The 23,782-nt window shown below is 40.3% G+C and overlaps 2 long non-coding RNA genes across 4 annotated transcripts in view; one reads left to right on the forward strand and one right to left on the reverse strand.

Annotated features, from left to right (window-relative positions):
- The window catches only part of LOC105376244 (uncharacterized), a 111,773-nt gene extending 88,608 nt beyond the window's left edge, over positions 1 to 23,165 (forward strand). For all 3 annotated transcript variants that reach the window (XR_007061905.1, XR_007061907.1, XR_007061906.1), the window contains one exon: positions 1 to 23,165. This is a non-coding gene — a long non-coding RNA (uncharacterized LOC105376244).
- The window catches only part of LOC105376243 (uncharacterized), an 8,863-nt gene continuing 6,718 nt past the window's right edge, over positions 21,638 to 23,782 (reverse strand). Inside the window, exon 2 of the long non-coding RNA XR_001746917.3 lies at positions 21,638 to 22,163. This is a non-coding gene — a long non-coding RNA (uncharacterized LOC105376243). The remainder of the gene's footprint in view (positions 22,164 to 23,782) is intronic.

Consider the following 23,782-nt stretch of genomic DNA (forward strand, 5'->3'; position numbering starts at 1 on the left):
ATGCCACTGCTACTCCTTCACTTGCTCATTCTGCAAAAGTTTGTAGATCTTCTGCAAGGAGAACGGCATTGTTAACTACCTACAGGAAGTGGTAAGCCAGATATGACCCTTGTACTTATACATCTTCCATTCTAGTGAATCTTGTTGGGATATTATGTTGACTTATTTCTGTTCCTTAGTGATCAACTCCTCCCAATTTCATACAGTATTACTTTACATACAGTTTTAAATCCTTCAGTCTCAGGTGTCCTTTGCCTCTCCAACCTTATCTTCTTCACAATCTATTGCGCTTTCTGCGATCAATCTTGACATATAACACTCAATGCCAAATCAAATTTCTGTTTTTTTAAAGCCAAGAACATGTTATGCTTTTTTGATACTCATGGAATTACTGTATTATCTATCTGGAATGTTCTGCTCAATTCATTTTTGCCACTATCAGAAGTGATTACAATGGTAATAGCTCTATTCTGAGGGATTTCTCTCTGAGAAGCACAATGCTAAGTACTATATATGGGCATACTTATATACACCCACACATAATTTCATCTCATGTAATTCTTAATAGACCATTTTATTTATGAGAACATGTAAAATTCAGGAAAATGGGAAATTAATTAACTTACCCAAGGTCATGCAGATAGCCAGTGACAGAATATCATTCCAAACCCTATTTGACTCCAAAGTCCATGTGTTTAACTGCTCTGCTCTATAACAAGTGGGCTTGTATCATCGTTCAAGGCTTAATCCAAGGACACTTCATTTCTGAAATCTTTTTTGACTTGCCTAGGCAAAGACAGCAGTGTTTTTCCTTTACATTTACCTTACATATATTTCTATGGTGGTGTATTTTGCATGTATCTTATATAAACATCTTCACTAGTTATTTGTACAGAAGTCTGTATCTGCTGTTGGCTTGCTTCAGGTTACTGATTCAGAGCTATTCTTCCCCACATTCCCTGGGCCTAGCACAGTAACCAGCCAATGATGGGTTTCCAATAAGTGAATGATGAATGAATGACCTGGCTGAAGCAGCACTTCCTGTTTGGAGCAGAGTGCCAATAAGGGAGAGCAAAGGGAAATAAGTGGGAGAGGTGGGTGGCAGCCGTTGATGAAGGCTCTGCCCACCAGGTCATCATGCATGAATTTGACCTGATTTGAGAAAAACCTGATCAAAAATTGCTTGCAATAGTGGAGGCAAAACACAAACACAAAAACAAAAACTCTGCTCAGTTCAGTTTACATTTTTCATCCAGTTGTTTTGGCATTGCACTGACACTTGAGCTATAGGTCGGAGCTAAGTTCACCTGGGTTTAATTGGAAAGTACATAGGCTTGTTTGGGGAATGCTCTAGGGAGCAGGTGAGCAAGAGACTTCTGCTATCAACTTGAAAAATAGCTGTATGAGAATTTTAAAAATCAACAAACCCCACTGTGTTCTTCAGCAACATGTCTTTCATTTTCTGTGGCTATGTCTGGTCTCTTTTTAGTTTAAGATGAAGAATGAAGATGACATGTATTGATTTGGTCTAACAACTGGTTTGGGAGTGATTTGAAAAACACATAGCCCATGAACAGTAGATTGATTATATTAATGGCCCCAATTCTTTGATCCTCAAATTCACACCCTTTGCGTGATAGCTTTGTGGTGTCTCTCACTCTGATTCTGAACCTAGTCACATGACTGGATAGGTAACCAGTTGTCCTGATTTTAGCACTGAAGATCCCACACCTTCGGAAGCCCCTTGGGCCCAGGGAAACCCTTCAGCTACACAAAAATCAGGATGGTTGGTCACTCCACTTGCCAGTGGGAGGTCAGGAGAAGTGACACAAGCAGAGACTAGCAACACACTTGTTAGGTAGGCTTGTCCCCGTTATTACACCTCTTCTATCACCATGAAAACATGTCCAGAATACCCTGCAGAATGCTAAGAAATACACGAAGGAGAGCCAAGTCATTCCAGTTGCCCCAGACCAAGACAGACTAGAAACGCTACCAATCCAAGGACTCTTAGACCTTGTGTGTAAGGAGATATATTAGTCATGGATCCAGGCCACAGAGAGGTGTAGGTATACAAATACAAGCAGAACAGTAAGTAGCCTTCACATACCTGAGAGCTATCGTTAGAAGAGAGCAGATTCATTTTGCCTATGTTCAATGAATAAAATTATGATCAGTATGTAGAATCTACAGGAAGATAAATGTAGATAAAATTAGATTTCTTTATGAGAAAGAATTTTCTAGCTATCACAGCTGCTGAAAGCTGTTCAAAGTTGGCTCCTTAGTGAAGTACTGAGCTAACTCACAGTGGAGACATTGATGCAGAGGCTGGAAAGTGAGCTGACACAGGTGCTGTAAAGTATTCAACTCAACTGGTGGGCTGAGCTCTGTGCTGGGCACAGGAATACAAAGATGAGCCTCTTGAAGAACTTACAGTAAAGATGGAGAAGTAAATGATGACCTTTCGTGATGATAAGTGCAAAGCAGTAGCTAACAACCTCACAGAAGTAGTTCCAGGGAAGGATTTTTTGTTTTAACGTGTGTGTGTGTGTGTGTGTGTGTGTGTGTGTGTGTGTGTGTGTATCTTTAGGGGGTAGAATTGTTGAGTGGGAAAACTTTTCCTAAGTGACAGGTAAGTTTGGTAAGTTTGACAGGTGAGTTTTGAAGAAAAAAATCTGTCAGAAGGATGAGGGCTAAATTGGGGCAGTGCAGATTTATTGGGCCTGGTGCAGAATGACAACTTGTGGTCCCTTGCAAAAAAATTATTAAAACTTACAAGACAGTGATAGCTTGTGGTGTGTCTCTATGGGTACAGTATGGATATGGATTTGCAGATGCTACTGTGGAAAAGGGCAACACAACAGAGGAGATGGTATGGTGGGTTTGTATTATGTCAATTTAGTTAAGCTGGTATCGACTTTCCAAGGACTCCCTACCCTGCATAATTCAGGAATACTGTGGGCCACAAGAGACATTTTATATGAGATTTGAAAAGAGGAAGGGAAACAGCAACTATATTCTGTTTAGACTTGGAAGGTCTGTGCAGGGTGCAAGAAGTTGCTGCAGATTACCCAAATTATTGCTTATTCCCAGTTTATCTTGTGGTATGGGGCAGCAGCAACCCTGTAACTCCTTCACTTCCCCTCAGATCTCTTCTGTAATCTTCTCAAGCTTCCCATAACAAAGAACACTAGCTTTTCCTGCAGATCACCTACATATCACATCAAATTTGCAGGCTTGAAGGCACTGAGAGCCTAACACGGGTTTCCCTTCATCCTTGTGGGTTCTACTTTGTCTTATCAGATTCTGGTTTGTCCTTTCTCTTCTTCACTTTATATCCATGTGTTCTTCCTCTCTTTCTCCTTCTCCTCCTCTCCTCCTCCTCCTTTTTCTTCTTCTTCTTCTGGCTGCCATGTAGACTCCAGCCCACATAAAGACTGTATAATTTGCTACACTATACTAAATATCAACTTGCTATATAACTTACTATACCTAATTCTATGTCACTCCTAGTGATTCTGTTTCTCTGATCGAACCCTGACTTGTAGTGAAAGGCTTATAAAGTGAGGTACACAAGAAGACATTTTAAGGAGGCAGTAAACATGTGGTTTAAAGCATGGGTTGTGAAGATGACATAACTTGAGTTTATAAACTCATTTCTTTATTGCTACTTTACCAGTTGTGTAATCTCAGTTTGTGTGATAGGCAGACTCCAAGGTAGCCCCCAGTGACTTCTGCCTCCTGATATTATTCCCTTGTGTATATCCTCCCATATCATAATGAGAGGTGACAGCAGGCTGGCAGCCCTCACAGCCCTCGCTCACCCTCGGCGCCTCCTCTGCCTGAGCTCCCACTTTGGCGGCACTTGAGGAGCCCTTCAGCCCGCCGCTGCACTGTGGGAGCCCCTTTCTGGGCTGGCCAAGGCTGGAACCGGCTCCCTCAGGTTGCAGGGAGGTGTGGAGGGAGAGGCGCGAGCGGGAACCGGGGCTGCGTGCCGTGCTTGCGGGACAGCTGGAGTTCCGGGTGGGCGTGGGCTTCGTGGGCCCCGCACTCGGAGCGGCCCGCCGGCCCTGCTGCCCCGGGCAATGAGGGGCTTAGCACCCGGGCCAGCGGCTGCAGAGGGTTTACTGGGTCCCCCAGCAGTGCCAGCCCACCGGCGCTGCACTGGATTTCTTGCCGGGCCTTAGCTGCCTTCCCGCGGGGCAGGCCTAGGGACTGCAGCCTGCCATGCCTGAGCCTTCCCCCACCTCCGTGGGGTCCTGTGCAGCCCGAGCCTGCCCGACGAGCACCGCCCCCTGCTCCACGGCACCCAGTCCCAGCCCTGGCAGGCAGCTCAACCTGCAGCCCCGGTGTGGGATCCACTGGGTGAAGCCAGCTGGGCTCCTGCGTCTGGTGGGGTCTTGGAGAACCTTTATGTCTAGCTCAGGGATTGTAAATACACCAATCGGCACTCTGTATCTAGCTCAAGGTTTGTAAACACACCAATCAGCACCCTGTGTCTAGTTCAGGGTTTGTGAGTACACCAATGGACACTCTGTATCTAGCTACTCTGGTGGGGCCGTGGAGAACCTTTGTGTCCATACTCTGTATCTAACTAATCTGGTGGGGAGGTGGAGAACCTCTGTGTCTAGCTCAGGGATTGTAAAGGCACCAATCAGCACCCTGTCAAAACAGACCACTCGGCTCTACCAATCAGCAGGATGTGGGTGGGGCCAGATAAGAGAGTAAAAGCAGGCTGCCGGAGCCAGCAGTGGCAACCCGCTGGGGTCCCCTTCCACACTGTGGAAGCTTTGTTCTTTCGCTCTTTGCAATAAATCTTGCTGCTGCTCACTGTTTGGGTCCACACTGCTTTTATGAGCTGTAACACTCACCGCAAAAGTCTGCAGCTTCACTCCTGAAGCCAGCGAGACTACGAGCCCACCGGGAGGAACGAACAACTCCAGATGCCCCGCCTTAAGAGCTGTAACACTCACTGTGAAGGTCTGCAGCTTCACTCCTGAGCCAGCGAGACCAGGAACCCACCAGAAGGAAGAAATTCCAAACACATCCGAACATTAGAAGGAACAAACTCCAGACGCGCCACCTTAAGAGCTGTAACACTCACCGCGAGGGTCCGTGGCTTCATTCTTGAGGTCAGTGAGACCAAGAACCCACCAATTCCGGACACAATAACAGAGATGGGGTATGTGATTAATAGAATAATGCACAATTGATGGTATGTCACTCCCAAAGCAATAAGAGACACTGCAGCTTCTGCCTCTTCCTCTCTTGATTTACTCATTCTAGGGAAACCAGTGGCCATTTTGTTAGGAGAAACCCACATGGTAGGATTAGCCTTTTACTAACAACCATGTGACTGAATCTCAGTCAATCCCCAGTCAAGCCTTCATATGACATCAGTTCTGAGCAATATCTTGTTTGCAAACCTATGAGAGACTTTAAGCCAGAAACACCCACCTAAGACACTCCCAGGCTCATGACCCTTAGAAACTGAGCGAGATGATGTATATATTGCTTTAGGCTGCTAAATTTGTTATATAGCAATCAATAACAAATAACCAATAAAATAACCAATATGTAAACAAGCAATAAAGTAAACAATCAATTTTCTCACAAGTAAAATGAAGATGACCATAGTACCCACTTATTGGATTATTTTTAAGAATAAGAGAAAAAACATATATAAAGCATGTAGCCACTGTATTTGGCATGTGGTAGCTGCAAGGGTGAATGTTGCTCTTGCTGCTTTGCTGTTAGAATTATTACTATTGTTATTACTATATCTTCTTTAAAACTTGGCTTCTATGATTGTTTCACTTCAGACTACAACAGGAGAAGCCTTGAGTAAGTAATATTTATATTGAGTCTGAAAACCTACTCTGTCATAAATTTACAGTGTCTGCCATCAGAAAATCAGTGGGTGTGAGTGTGGGGTAGATATGGAGACAACCCCATATGTAAGCCTTGTTAATGTTGTTTTTTTTTTTAAATACATGGAGGGGCCCACACAGACTTCACCCCAAAGAAAGTATCCTAATCTTGGATTAGGATAGTAGCTGAATCAGTTCATGTTGGAACTCCAATGTCCCAAGGGCTGGAGAATATTAAAGGTTGAGAATTAAAATCTGTCATCTGCCTGCTTGGAAAATTAACCCAGTTGGTGATGGAGAATTACTGGAAAGTTATAAGAAACATAGACACCTACCCAGAACTTCATGGTGCAAACAAAATTGAATGGCATTTAACATATCTAATTGTTAATGAAATGGGGTATTGTAGAGCATTAATATCTGCCCTTCAGCAGTGGCTGCTTGCTTTCACTGGCAGTATTTGTATCTGAATAATAAAACATTGGCGCTTGAAGGGTTTTTCTAGATGAGCTCAGCCTTCTTTTACAAATAAAGAAATAGGCTTGGAAATATACATATAAATGATAGTGGTGAATCTCTATCTTGTTCTCTCCTGAAGGGGGTTAAATGAGGGGTTGGGAGAAAGTGGTCTTTCTTTGGTTTCCTAAATAGTATCATTTAGTAATTCTGAGAATAGATATTGAAATCACACAGGGCTGCATCAAATTGCACCTTTCTTCTTTGTTAACTGCAAGATTCTGGATGAGCTAACTTGGTATTGAATAACTTGCTAACTTTTTTTAAGCCTCAGTTTTCTCATCTGCAAAATAGAACTAGTAATAATACATATGTCATAATGATATTATGAAGATTCAGAATATGCTTGGCCCATGGGAGGTGCCCTACAAATTTCAGGTTCTAATATTTTATATGCAATTCCTCAATGTTATGGCCTGTATATAAGAAAGAAATGGAATGCATAAATATTGTTGGGAGTATTCATTTGAATTTTGAGCTTTACTTAAAACACATTTAGCATTTTTCAGGGAATCCAGTCAGATTGCAAGATTTAAAAGTGATGACATTTTGTACAGCAAACATCACCTTCTGGTTTTGCAGTCTCTGAAGGCCAGACCACTTTGATGACTTTCTTCAGGTTGGTTTTATACAGTAAAAGAAGGTAAGTCCAGGGGCTTCTTAGGAGGAGAGGGATATCCATCAAGAGATATCAAAGACCACCTCTCCCATAATTGTAAATCACATTCCCTGATTTACAATGGTTCAACTTATGATGTTTTGATTCATGATTTGGTTTTCTGGGTATAATCCCATTGTAAGTCAAGGTGCATCTGTATAAGGAATATTATTTACATGAGATCACTGTACTCACCAGACAAGGAATAGGCATTACTCTTTCCATTCTACATTTGAGAAAATTAAAACTCAAAGTATTTGACTTCCCTACAGTTCCATAATTAATGCATAGTGGATCCAAGACTTGGGCTTTGGACCTATAACATGGACTCAGAGTGTTATTCTGGGCACTTGATCCTCAACAATATGTCTCCCACCTTCTTTACTTTGCTGTTTGCCCTCTAGGGATAAGTCTTCCTGAAGAGCTTGAGAGTTTACATCCTACTATTGTGACTCCATTCATGCTCTTGCTCTTTGAGAAATAGCTAAAACCCAAGCCTCTTCAGGTTGTCAAGACCAGGGAGGCAATAGGCAGAATCACAGAAGGCAGTCAGAGCATGAATAGTTTTCTTAGTGATGTTCCAGAGAAGTAGCATAGAAGAAAGAGATGGAAGCTGGATCATCGGCAAAATTTAAGTCACTGGAAGAATTAGTAAGAAAAACCTTGGGCTCAATGCAAATAAATGGAGTCCTGAACAGTTTGCTGAAGCAAAGACTTTAAAACTGGGACACAAACAAGGTGAAATTACAAAATAGGACTTGGGAATAGGAACAATACAGCTAATGGTCCAAAGCAGGACAAGCCATTGATTGTTTAGAAACCATTGTTGTTAGCTACTTATCTGGAAGAAAAGATTCAATCTCACATTATTGAGGGAATAATATATAAACACAGTTCCTGAGTTACAATGGTTCAACTTATAATGTTTTGATTCATGATTGCTTTTTTCTGGATATAATCCCATTGCAAATCAAGGTGCATCTGTATAAGGAATATTATTTACAGGAGGTCATTTTGTTGTAGGACTTTCTCCTTAGTTCAGCTAAAAATGGGGTCCTTGTCACACAACCATGAAAAATTAGGCTTGCAGACACTTTGAAGGGTGAGAAAAATGAAATTTATTGGGTAAAAAGGAAAAAAAATTCAGCAAAGTGAGAGAGGTTCCTGTTAACAGGCCCTCATCTCACAGATTGAATTCCAGGTAACCACCCCAGAACAGGAGAGACCAGGCCACACCCTTACAAAGAGCGTGAACTTCCCGAGCCTCCACCCCATTCTCCCAGTGCGCAGGCCAGTCAGAGGTTCTCTGAGGACCTCTTTATACTTGGCTGTCTCGGCTTTACTCACCAGATGAGGAATAGGCATTACTCTTTCCATTCTACAATTGAGAAAATTAAAACTCAAAGTATTTGACTTCCCTACAGTTCCATAATTAATAAGTAGTAAATCCAAGACTTGGACCTTGAACCTATATCTGTATAAGTACAAAAAAATAGGTGTGCAACTAGGATTACAGATAGGAATCAAATGGCTCTAATTTGATATCTGTGTCTATTAGTGGTGGGGATACGTTGAATGGCCAGGGTGGTCATTTTAAAGCAGGATAACAGACCTATCTTTAAATGGAAAATGAGAACATGACCCTTCTTTAGTGATATTTTCTCTAACATCGTGATGACCACACTCTCCATCACCACTCTGAGCCTTGCGATATATTTGAATGAAGGCCCAAAGTTCTTGCAAGTCTTTTGTCTTTTCGGAGTAAATGGATTACATTGACATAAGTAGAATCAAAGCAGAAAAGTGGCCAAGGTTGTTTAGAAATATTTGAACAAAGATTAGACCAATACAGTTTAACTTCACTTTCACTGGACAAGTGGTGAAAAAATAATTGAGTAGTTTCAGAAAGGCCCAAGTTTGAATCCTGGTTCTGTCTTTAACCAACAGTTGAATTTGAGAGCCAGTGTCATGTCTCTGTACTTAATCTTCTTTAACAGGTGGAACGTACTTGCCCCACTTAATATGATAAAGTTGCTATAAAGAAATAGGATGAGGTATGTGTGAAATAGTATTCTAAACTCACTGTGCACATGGAGAATTGACAACTTTCCTTTAATATCAATGGCCAAGGTCACCATTCGCCTAGGACTAGAGGACTCCCGAGGAAACAGAAATCAGTACATGCATTCTATATCCAGGGCCAAGAGGATAGAAATCCTGCTCGGTGGGAAGAACAATGAACTGAAATTCCAAGTGTCTGGGTACTTCTCGTTTCTTCCACTTATTAACAGTGTGATCCTTGGCAATTATTCCTTCACCTCTCTGAGCCTTAATTTCCTCTCCTGTTAAATGAAGGAGATAATGTAAAATCTAGAAGGTTGGTTCTCAACCTTGGCTACAAATGAGCTCTCCATGGGTGCTTTTAAAGGCCTGATGTCCAGGAGATACCCCAGATTAATTAAATCAGAATCTCTGAGCATAGAATATAGGCATTGGTATTTTTTTAAACTCCCCAGGTAATTCCAAAATGTAACCATGTTCAAGACCCATTGATCATTCTAGATAGTTTCAAGGTCAGGCCCTTCCATGTCTAATACTCTAGTATTTTGCAAAAACCTCTTGTTAGCTCTAGATCAGTCCCTCTCCAATTTCTTTGTAGAGATAGGTAATGCCATTGTGAGTCCAATATGCCAGCTGTATTACTTTCCTAGAGTTACAAAGAACCACAAACTGGGAAGCTGAAGCAAGAGAAATTTCTTGTTGCACAATTCTGGAGGCTTAGAAGTCTGAGACCAAGGTGTTGGCAGGGTTGGTTCCCCATGACGTCTCTAAGAAAGATTCTGTGTTACATCTTTTCCCCTAGCTTCTGGTAGTTTGCTGTCAATCTTTGGGATTTATTGGATGGTAGAAGCATTGGCTCAATCTCTGCCTTCATCTTCACATGGCATTCTCCTTGTGTGTGTTTCTGTATTCACATTTCCCCATTTTTATAAGGAAGCCAATCATATTTGATTAAGGGCCCAACCTATTTCTATATGGCCACATCTTAACAACATCTGCAGGGACCCTATATCCAAATAATGACACAAGTTGAAGTACTGAGGGTTAGGACTTCAGTATATGAACTCTGGAGGGACACAGTTCAGTTTGAAGTAATATTACCATAGTACCTATAGATTTCAACAATTGGGTAGAGCATTATTGGTGTTAGATGATTTCCTGAAACCTCTGTAATTGGTTTCAAAGGAGGACTCCTTTCACACAGAACACAACACACTCCCTCCGTTTCTCTCTCCCAGTTGCCCCTGGCCTCACCCACCTTCAAATTCTTTGCTCCCTGCCTGCCCCCTCCTGTCTCCTCTAATGATTCCTTGCCAACAAGGGAGGGAGACCCTGGCCCCTTCATTTGCCAGTTTAGGGATTTTCCACTAAGCATCTCAACTCCCTGCCAACCACCTTTAGTTATTAAAATGCAGCTCACAACGTCTCACTCTGGCTGTTACATTATCATTCCTCGTTAGAGACTCCTCCAGGGCCTGAGACATCCCTGCACTGACTTTATAATTACAAAGTCAATTTCTAAACAGACATTTGCAAATAAGTCAATTTAAATACCGAGATTTGCAAACAATAATTAAGCAGTAGCTTCTTTTTTAATATCTCTACATATAATTAATGCCGGTGGGCTTTTCATTTTACCTTGCAACTGGGTAGTTTGCAATAGTTTGTTGAGCTAAAGTGTTCTCTGAAAGCAAATCAAAGCACAGGGGAGATTTTGAAAGTGATTGAAGAATGAGTTTTTCCTTTTCCTTCCTTATCCCTACTTCACCTGATTGGCTAGGTTTCTTATCAGGTGGGACCATGATAGGGCAGGGATGCTGAAGCAGGATCATTTTCTGCAGTAAAAACAGTAACAACACAGGGTTCTGGTCCAGAGATAGCTTGGTTAATATGGCCTCTAAAATCAAATATACAGTCAAGGCATTTCTCTATGCAAGAAGCCTCAGATTCTACTCATTCCAGCATCATCTACACAGTGATATCTCTCAGTACTCAGCTTTGATAGTGTATTCTTCCTAGTTTAAACCAATCTGCAGCATATCCCTGCCAGCTATAGGATAATAGCCTGACCCTGACATTCAACATCCTTTGCAATCTTGCCTTACCCTCTCTTTTAAACAAGTATTACTGAAAACCTACTAGATGCTAGGGAAAATGCCAGGTAACAAGGGCACACTGGTAACTAAGACACAATCTATTTTGAAGTCTAGTGGGGATAGAAAAAGTAAATTCAAAGATAAAGTGTTATAAAAGGGGAAGGAGAAGGAAAGCTAGCTTGATCTGAAGACTTAGGAATGTCCTTTTAAGAAAGTGATTATCTAAACTGAAATATCAAGGATGAGTAGTTATCAACAAGATGAAGATTGAGGAGGATGGTTATTTTATGTAAAAGCCTTTTAGAAGCTGTAGAGATTAACAAACACAAAAACTGTTTGAAAAACCAAAAAGAATGGGCCTAAATGGTAGCTAACATAAATGAGGGAAAAGATGGGTCTAGGCAAAGAAACACAGACTAAAATCCTGAAGGCCTTGTATTACAAGTTAAGAAGTTTGAGCTTTGTACTAAGGATAGCAGGGAGTCATGAAAGGGTTTTAGGGAGTGAGGTGACCAGTGTGGCTTATGATGCCCCAGCTGTGTTCCCAAGCCACGCTAGACAATCTCTCCAAGTTAGTTGGATTATCTGACAAATCTTGATTTAGCTTCCTAATCTCACCTCTAATGAGCATGTTTCTACCAATATTCCCAACCCAGCTTAATACCTCACCATCAAAGTCTAACACAGAAATCATAGCCTCTGTGAAATGTCTTTTATCCCTCCACAACTTTCTTATAAAAATGGGTCACCTCCTAATGAGTGCTTCCAAAACATTTTGTTCAGTTCTCCAATTCAATACTTATGACATGCACGTTAATAGTAAAACTTTCATTGTTCCCAGGTTAGTGTATCTATATTCACCATGGTGCTCAGCAAACAGTAAGCATTTACAAATAGTTTAGAATCATCATCATCAATTTGACCAACAGATGAAACCTTCAGAATTTTTCAGAAAGAGAATCCTCACATGTGCCGTGGTGGGAGCCGGCATGTTTTGCCTTCAGAATGTCCTCAAGCGCAGTCATAATCTCCCTTCATCCAGGATGTTTCTGTTCAGTTCATGGGAAAAGAGTTTCTGTGCAGCTTTCTTTAGGTAGAAGGAGGCTGACTGAAGTCAGCATTCCCCAGAAGAGAGACAGGGACTCCAGAGTTAAGAGTGCATGAGAGGTCAGAGGCACTGACAACTCTTTTTAAGGTGCTGAGATTCTCAGCCCAAAATACAGACGGGAATTCCACTGACCCACAGAAGCCTACTTTGCCCTCTGACTCAGAGATAAACATCTTTCTTTTTTTTCATGTTCACTCTTCTTAGAGAGACAGGTCCAGGCTGGGTGCGGTGGCTCATGCCTGTAATCCCAGCACTTTGGGAGGCTGAGGCTGGAGGATTACGAAGTCAGGAGATCGAGACCATCCTGGCTAACACGGTGAAACCCCATCGCTACTAAAAATACAAAAAATTAGCTGGGCACTCAGCCACTCAGGAGGCTGAGGCGAGAGAATAGCATGAACCCGGGAGGCGGAGCTTGCAGTGAACCGAGATCGCGCCACTGCACTCCAGCCTGGGCGACAGAGCAAGACTCCATCTCAAAAAAAAAAAAAAAAAGAAAAGAAAAAGAGAGACAGGTCCAATTTAGGCCCAGGGTCTGGGCTCTAGAAAAGCCAGCCCTGCTCCACTAAATGCTAGGCCCGCCTGGAAAAGTTAAAGAGTTGACCAGCTGAGGTTCACTCAAGGCCTCCACTTCCTGCTTGAATCATTTCATATTTTTGGTTCAAACCAGTCAGCACCAGGGCTAAGTGACCTTTAGTGGGCCACATATTTTGCAAGCCACACATTAACTAACAGATTATTATTGAGCCCAGTAGTCCTTTTCAACATAGATTTTGTCTCCTCAGGGAATGTTTTCTGGAGGCTTTAGTGTTCATTTCTTATGGTGTTTTCTTAGTAAACTCATCATCTCTGGAAGAGTCTTAAATGCTAACAAGAAGGATTACATAGAACGTGGATACATAGCTCCCTAAAATACTTAATTTCCCAGTATTGAGAGTGAGTTTTCAGGACACTCCTCTAATCCTAATCCTCATACCCATTTGTTTCAGTGCCTGGCTCATGTTCTAGATACAGCTGCATGGGATAATCTGATATTGGTTCTGACTGAGATTACCCTGAATTTAATTTTTTTCCCCTTAAGCCAAAGACATTCAAACTTAGGTGCACATTAGGGGAAATAAAAAACAAACAAACAAACAAACAAAATAGCACTGAGTATTTAAAAAATAATCTTCTGCAGTGATTTAATGTTCAGAATGAGAACTAGTGGTTTAAGTCACCATTCATTTAAATTGGCTTTGTTCTGATTAAAGGGCCTAGCCACCTGAAGTTGTCCAAACCGGGGGCCCATTGCAGACAGAAGCAGACAGATAAATGGACAAAGTTTTAACTGTGGTGACATCTTTTCCTTGTCAGTCATCTAAATACTTGAAGAAGAACTTAACATAATAAGGAGAGAGCAGGAACCTTATTCCAGTTTCTTGTTGTTTTGGGTGGCTTTGAATTCGCCCTCCTATATCTGGGTGAGCACAGACTTCTGTGAACTCCTACTGGCATATTTTTCTGGTCCTTCTCCCCTCACCCTTCTCTTCCCTTTTACTCATTTTTTTTCTATCTTCTTTTCTGGTTTTCTTTTACTACCTCCGTAGTAGTTAAGGAACACCAGAATGGGGACCACAGAGAGTGTGGGGCACATTGTGCTTGTGGTTACTGTATGCCATTGAAGAGTCACTTAATTTTGGGGGCCCCTTTTATCCATATGTATTTAGTTGATTGGATTAGATAGGATCATATCTCCCTACATTATTAAAATTCCATATTTTGCTATGTTTTATATTTTATTCTTTTCTATTCTTCTTTCCTTTTCTTTACATCCTCTCTCTGTATAAGCTTCTGAAAGTTGAATGTTGAGTAAGTGGTGGATGATTATTTTAGTCTTCTTTGTAACTACTTTTGGTCCAGTTTCAAAAGTTCACAGCAAAGCTATGGTACAGAGAAGTCAATAGTCATAGCTAGATGGAAATGTTCTAGTTCACTCCCTCTACTGAGCTTTCACTTAACATTAACTTCTTCATTGGGTATGGACATGCATTTTCCTACCTGTTATACTAATAGTTTGAATGTATGTCCCTGTCCAAATCTAATATTGAAATGTAATCCCTAATGTTAGAGGTGGGGCCTGGTGGAAGGTGATTGAATTATGGAAGTGAATTTCTCGTAAATAGTATATTAGTTCGTTCTCGCGCTGCTATGAAGAAATACCCAAGACTGGGTAATTTATAAGGGAAAGAGGTTTAAAATTCACAGGTCCTCATTGCTAGGGAGGCCTCAGGAAACTTACAATCATGGTAGAAGGCACCTCTTCACAGGGTGGCAGAAGGGAGAATGAGTGCCAGCAGAGGAAATGCCACACACTTATAAAACCATCAGCTCTTGTGAAAACTCATTCACTATCATGAGAACAGCATGGGGAAACCACCCCCATGATTCAATTACCTTCACTTGGTCTAGCCCTTGACATATGGGAATTATTACAATTCAAGGTGAGATTTCAGTGGGGACACAGAGCCAAACCACATCAAATAGTTTAGCACCACCCACCTTAGTACAGGCCTCATGATAATGAGTGAGTTCTTATGAGATCTGGACATTTGAAAGTGGGTAGCACCTCCCCTCTTGCTCTATTTCTCGTGCTTTTGCCATGTGACGTACCTGCTCCCCCTTCTCCTTCCACCAAGATTGTACATTTCCTAAGGCCTCCCCAGAAGCCAAGCAGATGCCAGCATCATGCTTCCTGTATAGCCTACAGAACCATGAGTCAATTAAACTTCTTTTCTTTATAAATTTCCCAGTCTCAGGTATTTATTTACAGCAATGTAAGAACCAACCAATACACTACCCTTCAAATTTCTCTTACCCATAATCATTCAGCTGAGATTTTTCTTATACCATAAATATTTTTCTTGATCATTCTAGTTCTCTCTGAACTCCCTTTCCTTTGGCCAATTACAATGTTTACTTATGAACTTTAAAATGTAACACTTAAATACTGTTCCCATTGCTTTGTTTGGTGGTATGTGTTTGTGACACTATCTGTGCCTTGTGAACATTAGTTATATTGTATCACATAAAGGAGAGAAACACCAATTTTTTCTTCTGTTTCTACTCCTGAAGGTGTCAAACTCCAGGTTAAGCATGCAATGTGTGCTTAAGAGAGACTTGGACAATATTAAGTTTTTAAGCTTAGAGAAAACCTATTTCAACTCCCACATTTTACCCACAAAGAAACTAAAGCTCAGGGAAGAAAGATAGCTTGCAGTGAATTAATAGCAGAGCTTGACTAGAAGCTAGGACTCCTCAATCCATTTCATTTTCTATATAATTTGTTGTTTGATTTATTTTTCCAATGCCTAGGCATGTCTCAGATCCTCAAAAGTGTTGCTTACTTAACCCATTGTACTTCCACTTTTGTATAACTTAACAGCTGTATCCCGTTGAGATACACCCTTGCTGCCCTTCAGGAAGTTCATTTTAAATTGATGTGTGAGCTAATTAGTCCACATAGATGCCTCCTTTGTTAAGGAGGTGATGATGGTGTAGCAGAAGGAGCTCTGGGCTTAGAATCTGAAGATTGGCCTTCAGTTCTCTCTTTGTTCCTTAAAAACTCTGTGAGCTTAGGCTCACTACTTCACTTTTATGAGTCTGTTTCTTCAACAATAAAACAGAGCATAAATATCCTCATTTAGCAAAACATTGTAAAGTTTAGGTGAGGTAGTATTTACTTTTTGTTAACCTTGATGAGCTATTGAGATATCAAATGTAGTCCTTTTCACTAGTATTAAAACAATAATAAAATATAAAAGACATGAACATTAGTTAAAGAAGAAACACCCTAATTTTGCTGCATGGGACTTTACTCAGCAGGCTAGAAGCCATCATCAATATTGGTGACAATTACATATATCTCTTTCCTCCTCCTTATGTGTGAAAGACCCATAACTTAAACACTTGCTGATATTCAGCACAAAAACAAATAGCAAAGCAACCCTGGGTGTGATGTATTTCAACAGCATAGCTTAGACTTGCCACCGTTCTGTTAAATTATGAATATCTATTACTTGATGAAGTCAATGCTTTCATTTGGAATAAGAAAGGAGGGAGGCAAAGAGGTTGCAGTTAGGGAAGAAAAAAACACAAAAGGATGCAGTTGCTATAGCGATTAACAATGGGTATCCTTTTGGCGGGGTTTAGAGATGCTGATGCAGCTAAAACAAATGTTTGTGTTTGGCCACATTGGAGACGGTGACGGATTATGGAGCCTTGGCCTTGAGCCTTGATGTAATCCAGTTCTAAATAAATCATAAATCTAAATGCAGACTGGTAAGGCAGGAAGAATACCAATTCAGGCTAGGTGGTAGCAAGCTAGCAATAGTGACCAGGATTGATTATGGGGTGTGAAGTAGGGAGGGATAGCAGGAGGGGGACCATGACTAGCCTGCAGGGATGTACTTCTTTCTCTTCTAGCCTTAGCCAACTCCCAACTGAGCTGCCAGACCTCAGTAGTGTGAATGTGAGATCACTGCTGAATTAGCCACAAGGCCAGACATTCTGCTGCCTCCTAAATTTTCTTGGATGAAAAGATTTTTCATCACGAAAGGTGCTGAATTGCTAATGTTTGGGCTAGTTTCATGATTTCCTCACTTGGAAGGAACCAAAAGTCAGTCTGAGTTTTTCACAGGCATAAAGGATGCTAGGAGTATGAGAAGATGCTACAGTGAAAGCACTTAGATGTGGGTAACCATTTACTTATGTAAAGACGGAAAAAAGACAATTGTTCATATGTAATGTTGACATTTTTCCTCATATTTTGTTTCCTAAGAAAAAAAGGCAATGAGTACAGGGTAAAATGAAAAACAAAAATACTAGCTCTATTTACACTGGAAAGAACAAGGCTTCTCTTGGGAGAGAAGGAAGGATCTAGTAAAATGTGTGGAGGGATTGAGAACAATATAAGCATTCATGAGCAGTGAGTATGAAATAAATAGCAGGTTTGGAGAGAGAAAGGAAAGGGTATGTAGCAATTGTTGGAAAAGTTCAAAAACTGGTATTTCTTAATTCACACCTTCATTTCAAGTATTACAAATGACCATAAAATAAGGTATACACTTCATTTTTAAGATGTCAGATCAACATTTCTTATAAAGATAATATTGTATTAAAATGGAGTAATAAAATATTATTTGTGTTCATTATGGAAAACTCATCTTGGATTTAGGATAAAAAGTGAAATGCTCAGCTTCAACTCAACTCAAATCCTCATCTTGAAATGGAGCTAAGAATGTGTTTTCATCATGACTGCCAAATTGGTGGTCATATGGCACATGGGATACATATTGATCCAATATGAGCCACAGTGGTCCTGGAGTGATCTTCAGATGTGACCATGTGCCATAGGTCCATCAATGGACCATTAGGTTCAGAGGAACACTGTAGACGACTTGAGGTCACCATTATGTTCTTTGGACAATATAGTTTAAAAGGGGATGCTCACTAAGCTAAGTAAGTCAAAAGAACATGACTGTAGAGCAGCAGAAGGAAAGATAAGATTAGCTCTGCAAAAGATTTATTGGAGGAGAAATGTCTAAGGGTAAAGGGGAGGAAGCAGGAGAAGGCAGGGAGACCTTTCCAATTGTGATGGCAGGTCTGACACCAGAGAAGAAGACAAAGAAAGAAGGATTTGGAGGATTGGGTAAGAATAGTCTCAAATTAGGTGACTTAAGGAGGTTCCAAGAAGGGCCAAATCACCTGTTAGAGGAGTCCTGCTATGCACAGAAATGGACTCTGCATTAGCCCCTTCATTGTCCTCAGTCATCGGCTGGGAGCATCCCATGAAAAGCGTGGCCTCAGAGGTGCTGGAGATTCATTAGAGCAACCACTGGGGCTATCTGTCAACATTGCTTCTCCACTCCCACTTCTGCAGGAGATTTGAGCCATGCAATTCCATGGCTACTGCAGTAAATTTTAGGCTAGATGTGTCTATTGTTTTAACCTGGTTCCTATGGATGTTCAATATCTGAAAGAATTACAAATCTTTCTCAAAAGAAAGAGGTAGTCAGTAGAAGACATCATGGATTAATTCAAGGCTTTTTCCTGGAACACATTTTTAAGACAAAATCCCTGAGAATTAAGCTCCAGCTCCGTGGTGCTCCATCACGCACATTGTAGAATCTGTGTTACAGGCATTTTATGTGAATTTGAATTCCACAAATTAGACATACGGTCATATAAAGTATCAATAAGTCTCACTTTATGCACAATATTTAACACTCTGTGACTCACCCAAATTAAAAACAATTCATCAAGAATTTCATAATTTGAAAGTTGGCTCAATGAATTATAAACTGTCTTTGAGAGAGCCACAGAGCAGCATGACTTCAGCTGTTAAATAGGAAGACCTGATAGCCTGTGTCAGGATTAATCTTTAATTACATGATGTTTGTAAAGTTATGATTCTTGTACCAAAATAACCCTGAGTCTATTATTACTCTAAGAAACTTGACAATGTGCAGGGAACATGATAATGACAATGTGGGAATAAAAAAACAAGCAAATGAAACATTGAGTTGTGTGTAAGCTTGCAGTGAACCAAGAGGTGCAGGGAAGAGGAGAGATGTTGGCAATTAAGAGTCAATAGCGTCCTGGATTAGGATTTATTTATGCACTTTTTGCAACCTATTTTGCTGGTGAACTGCCTGACTGAACCTCCTAGAAATAGTGAACAGGGGCTGAAATGTGTGTGTTTAGTTGATATCTGCACATTGACAGAAAAGTAACTTACAAGATGCATTCTCTTCCAGACTGGAGGGAGATCTGTAGCTGGTAATTGGGCAGCAGGTGGTAGAAGATGGCTTGGAGGATCAGAAACTCCTTAGATCAAGTCAGTGTAGTAGCAATTTATAGCGAAGAGTTAAAAAACTATTTCAGACTTCACCACCTATATGAGGAGATGACTGAATTCTTGCTGCTACTAAAGCCAATTAGATAAAGGGGAAAAAGGAAAAAAAGGTGACCATAATGTTTCCCTGGGAACAAATCAAATAGCAAAACTCAGACTAAAACTCTAGGTAAGACGCGAGAATATGAGGTGCTAAGGGCATGTGACAGCCTCCTGAATTTGGATCCTGCAAAGCGTGGCCCAGGTAGGCACAGGTAAGTGGTTTCAACTCCAAAAGTGGATGCTTCAGGGACAGCCAGATGCTGCACCTCCTAAGTTGCTTCCACTATGATAAAATCAGTCCCAAGGGATGATGCTCCTTGGTCAACTTTAGGCCCCAGCATGGAAAAGACAATGTCAAAGACAAACTAAAGATGAAGAGAAACATCAAGACAGGCACTCTGACCATGGGGCAACAAACTCGATAGATATTCCGTTATTTTTTTCTTTCTTAGGAGGAAAAGAACCAGGATTGGGAGGTCACAGAACCTGAAATCAGCATGATTGCCTCTGTGGACTTCGGTTTCAGTTACTCACACCTGGGCTTTTTAGAAGTAATTTGAATGGATACAGTCAAAGCTCAGCCTCTAGAAGATCCCAAATGACCCCACTGTAGGAGTATGAGAAGAACGTTCAGGAAGAAGGGGTTCAGGTGGTAGATGATAAGAATCTACAGGTGGCACAATAGACATATTACCTTCTTTGGTGGAGTCTGTAAAGACATTACTAAAGTTTAATAATAAAGCATGAATATTCAGACCCTTCTTTTCTGCCTTCTAAGAGTTAATGAGTGAAATGTTGAATTGGAGGAAGAAGAAACATTCATTGACTTGTTTTAAACAAGAAAGAGAGGAGAGGTGCTCTTAACATAAAATGATAGACTCATAAGAGAGTGGGAAAGTTTGGCATGGGCTGGAGTTTGAAGACATTGGGGCTTTTGAAAAGAATATTTATTGGGCAGCCATCATTAATTTGAAGTCTAAGGTAAATACACTTTGAAAAATGATTTTAAGCAGTTACTCTTTTCCTTAGTATCGTGTTTGGCAAATTTTTATTTTTTTTGAAACTTAATTGTAGATTTAAATAGCCTTTTAAATTTTCAAATATTGGTTCATATTAAATTAGAATTTCTTCTGAATGTGACACTGGACAGAGGCAAACCCTAGAGTGTTCCAGCTTTGTCTTGGTTATGCTGGCATAGTGTACAGTTAAGCATCTATTTTTTTCTAGTACAAATTGTATTAAAGTATAAATTATCCAAATTTTATTCCTAACTGTAAATGTCCACTCTACATCAAGAGAAAGCCAAAATATTAGAGAAGCATGTCAGCTGTATAATGCCTCAGAAAGAGGATTGCAATGGAAATTGCAGGAGTTACCAGGGATTTAAAATTAGAGCATCTGGATTGGAAAGAGTATTGTAAAATCATAAGTTCAACCATCCAGCCAGTCAGAACTCTGCAATGTGCATAACAGATGGCCACCTATCTTTGTTGGAACCCTTCCAGGGATGGAGAGATCTTCACCAGGATAGCCAATTCTGTGTTTGGATGATTCTTATCATTATAATGCTTCTTGTATTTAACCCAAATCTTCAGTCTGACTTACAATTGTCGATCTTTTTTTGTACCCTTTGGGTTCAGTAGAACCTGGCTAAGAAGAGAAGCCCTAATGTTTACTAGCTGTTGACTTAGGAAAAATTCTTAATGTAAATGAGAATCAATTCATGCACCTGTATAATGGACATAATAACTCCCAAATCATAGGTTTATATTAAAGATGAATAAAATAATGTATAGTCTGGATTCAACACAGTGCCTTGTACATAGTATGTTCCTAAAAATGTTAGACTATACCAATGTTACTAGTGAAACTAAATCAATGAAAGTCAAGATAGAGGCCAAAGCATTTCAGGTAATCTTGTTAGGATTTGCCATTCTGGTGTTATATTGCTTCAAGCAATGTTTCTCCATCTTGAAATGAGTCTGTCCCTCTCATCTCTGATTGTAGGTATATATGGCCTTGACTTAGCAATCTGACTCTGAACACTTGTGCTCCCAAGCTTGCTCTCTTTGTATTGTATATTTCAACACTCCAATTCTGATCTCTTTGTACTGTATATTCTAACACTGCAATCCAGACTCAAGCCTGGTTAAGTGGACCACTGCTCTCTGGCTCCACCCTATGCCTGGGTAGGACATGGACAATCACAGTTATGGGTGATCACTGAGATGGGCTGTCCTTTCACTTACGGTAAATGTTAGGAATTCTGTAGTGCACTTTTCATGTTCTTCAAAGATAGGTCTTTGAATGTGTCCCTCTTAAATATAATAAAAGGTCAAATTTTTAATTTACCTCATGGAAACTAGGGCTCAGATGCTTCTGGGAGAAGACTTAGGCAGCACCCAAATATCTATATATTTATTTCTATCCAAAGAGCTGCATGGGTCTTTTTTGTTTGAGAGTCAAAGGAAACAAGGAAGGGGTAGCTGTTCTATTACAAGGAGTATTGTCAGTAAACAGCCTCCATCTGACATCTTCAGGGTCTGTCTCAACTGCAGAAATCTACTTTGATGAGGTCATGCCCTTCCTGGGGATACTACATACAGTGACTCACCCAGGCAGGGATGTAATTTCCTGACCATGCAGGTCCAATGTAGAAAGTCTGATAAGCAACATTCACTTTGCTCTTTGCCACATCAGTAGATGCACAGTTGGGCCTACATTGGGGTTTACCTTCTTCCTCTGCACAATTCTGCTTATACCCTCTTGCTTTCACAGGTGTTGATTTCCAAGAAAGATCTTGTTCTTCAAACTCTGTTACAGCGTCTTCTCTGGAGAAGTCAACAGTGAGATGGGCTAAATGAAGAAGGAGCAGCTTATTGTCTTTGTTGGTTTTCTTTATTTTCCTTCGAAGCATCTGGGGGAAGAGGAAGACAATGGATGAGATGGCGTATGTTCTTTCCGCCCTGTGAATGAATCAGATTTGAACTCCTAAGCAAAATAGAAAATGCAGAAATGGTGCTCAGGCAAAACCTGAGAGACACCGGGCTCAAGCGACTCTCCTCTGAAGTCCATCTGATAAAGTCTGAATTATGGATAAGTCCTTTCCCCCTCAATAGTCTACTGCTTACTAAAGTGTAGCTCAATGACTCTGTGGGCTTGGGTAATCAGCAGGTAAGCATAGCTATGCCCAATGAAGCAGGGGCTGTGAGAAGAAGCCTTGAAGAGTACCTAAAGTAGAAAATAAGTGAACTTTCTCCTAAGCCCATAGGAAACATCACTATCCTGCTGAAGGCAGGGCAGAGGGAACACAGCAGAGTAGGCTCAGAATAACTGGGATTTGGGCACTGATATTAATGTCACCATATCTACACTTATTGATTGTTGAGATTATACATTTGGCTTGAAACCACAGGAACTAATATACTCTAAATATAAGCTGAGAAAAATTAAAAATAACCACAACTACAACAGTAGAAAGAGAAAATATATGAATGCCAAGAATCTAATGTGTAAATTAACTACAAGGGTTTAGAAGTTTTGGGCATCTCCCTGGGGATTAGCTGTGCTCAGTCTCCCCTCCAGGAAATCATTTACAACTCTATGTCTGTTACCCCAAAATGACTTAAATGAAGTTTAGGATAAGACAGAGACAAGTTCAGAACAAGACATGGGTGAGGTTCAGAAGAATGAAATTGAAATTATATGAATTTCCAATTGTTAGAGATGCATGAGTGAGATACAGGTTTTCAAGTGTTGTGATGTCATACCATAAAATGATTATAAACATTTAGGAAACAATCTCTCCTGTGGAATCAGGAATCATTACTAAATATCACAATTATAGTGGAGACGCTGAAGAAGTCAATATATGTGTTCTGAAAAACTTGATTAAATAAACTTCAAGGACACAGAGAAAGGCGCTGTGATCTGTTCTCTGCAAAGGGCCTGATATATTTAGATTTTCATTAAGATGGGCTGAAACACAAAATGTCTTCAGTTATCCAGGAAATGTAATTAACCACTTCTTAAGATTTCTACTTAATCAATGCTATTTTTCCCCATATTTGGTTAATTGAACTGTCTGCCTCCACTATAGTCTGAGGTATGTGGCTAATTTTGGCCAGCAATATCAAGGACATGAAACTCAAGGTAATTTTTTTCCCTCCAAAATAGCCTCTATATTTTCGCTGTAAATCCTTATCCTATTCTCTGTGAAATAAGCCTTCAATTAACAGCCATAATTAAATAATATATTTAAAAATTAAGATAAAATATGCTGAAGTAGTGAGCATTACTTAGAAATGGTATGAAAATAATTTGCAGTCAGAACAACCTAAATTTGAATTCTTGCTCTTTCAAGTTATAGCTAATCTTGGGCAAGCTATTTCTCAGTTTCTTCCTCTGTCGAATGGAGCTAATATTAATTTCTGCTTAATAGTGTTCTTGTGAGACTACAGGTAATGTTTGGATAGCATCAGTCATAGAGTAGACATATAATAAAATGTTACTATTTTTATTATTTTCACTATTATT

This window comes from Homo sapiens, chromosome 9 (genome assembly GCF_000001405.40).
Source record: "Homo sapiens chromosome 9, GRCh38.p14 Primary Assembly".
NCBI classification, from domain to species: domain Eukaryota; kingdom Metazoa; phylum Chordata; class Mammalia; order Primates; family Hominidae; genus Homo; species Homo sapiens.